We start from the raw sequence: 912 nt of genomic DNA on the forward strand, positions 1-912 counted from the left end.
TAAAAAGTGCTAGTGAAATGTCAGTATGTTTAGATTGTGGGGAAAAAAAAGAAAAAATCAATATATTGTGACAAGCACTTGAATTTTCAGCACAAATGGTTTAAATGCCAGAGAAAAAAATGATGGCTCTATACCAAATTGAAATGTTGAGAATCTGTCTCTGCAGTTCCTTTATCTCTTTAGCTTGTGTCTCTTTTCTTTTTCTAGTAGGATCTGTTCTCTTCAAATGTTTTCCTCTTATGTAGTTCTCTGTAAAAATGAGCTCTAAACTCAGATCTAGATATCTTAGTTTCTATAAGCTAGAAAACTAGCTCAAACTAGAGATCCAAAAATTACATTGGCAAATGTAATTTGCCATATTTTAAAACTGCTATTTCCGGAGCTACAAATTGAGTTAACTATTTGATGATCTCAATTTATTTAAACGAGTCAAATCTTCATGGATAAACACATGTTTACTCAGTACCTTTAATATTTAAGGTACATTTAGGTGCTTTGAGAATGAAGTTTCTACCACTGTATTACTTTGCTAGGGTTTTCACGGTAAAGTACCACAGACTGGTTGGCTTAGACAACAAAATTTTATTTTCTCACATTTCTGGAAGCTAGATTTTAGAGATTAAGATACCAGCAGGGTTGGTTTCTTCCAAGGGCTCTGAGGAAAGAATACATTCCAGGTTTCTGTCTTTGCACTTGGCCATCTTCCCTCTGCATCTTCACATTGTCTTCCTTTGGCCATGTCTGATGTCCAAATTTCTTCTTTTTATGAGGACATCATTCACATTGGATCAGGGCTTACCCTAATGACTTCATTGCAAATTTAATTAACTCTATAAAGACCCTATCTCCAAATGCAATTAAATTCTGAGGTATTGGGGGATAAGGCTTCAATACACAAATTTTAGGGAGACA

The sequence above is a fragment of the Homo sapiens genome, chromosome 2 (genome assembly GCF_000001405.40).
Source record: "Homo sapiens chromosome 2, GRCh38.p14 Primary Assembly".
NCBI classification, from domain to species: Eukaryota; Metazoa; Chordata; class Mammalia; order Primates; family Hominidae; genus Homo; species Homo sapiens.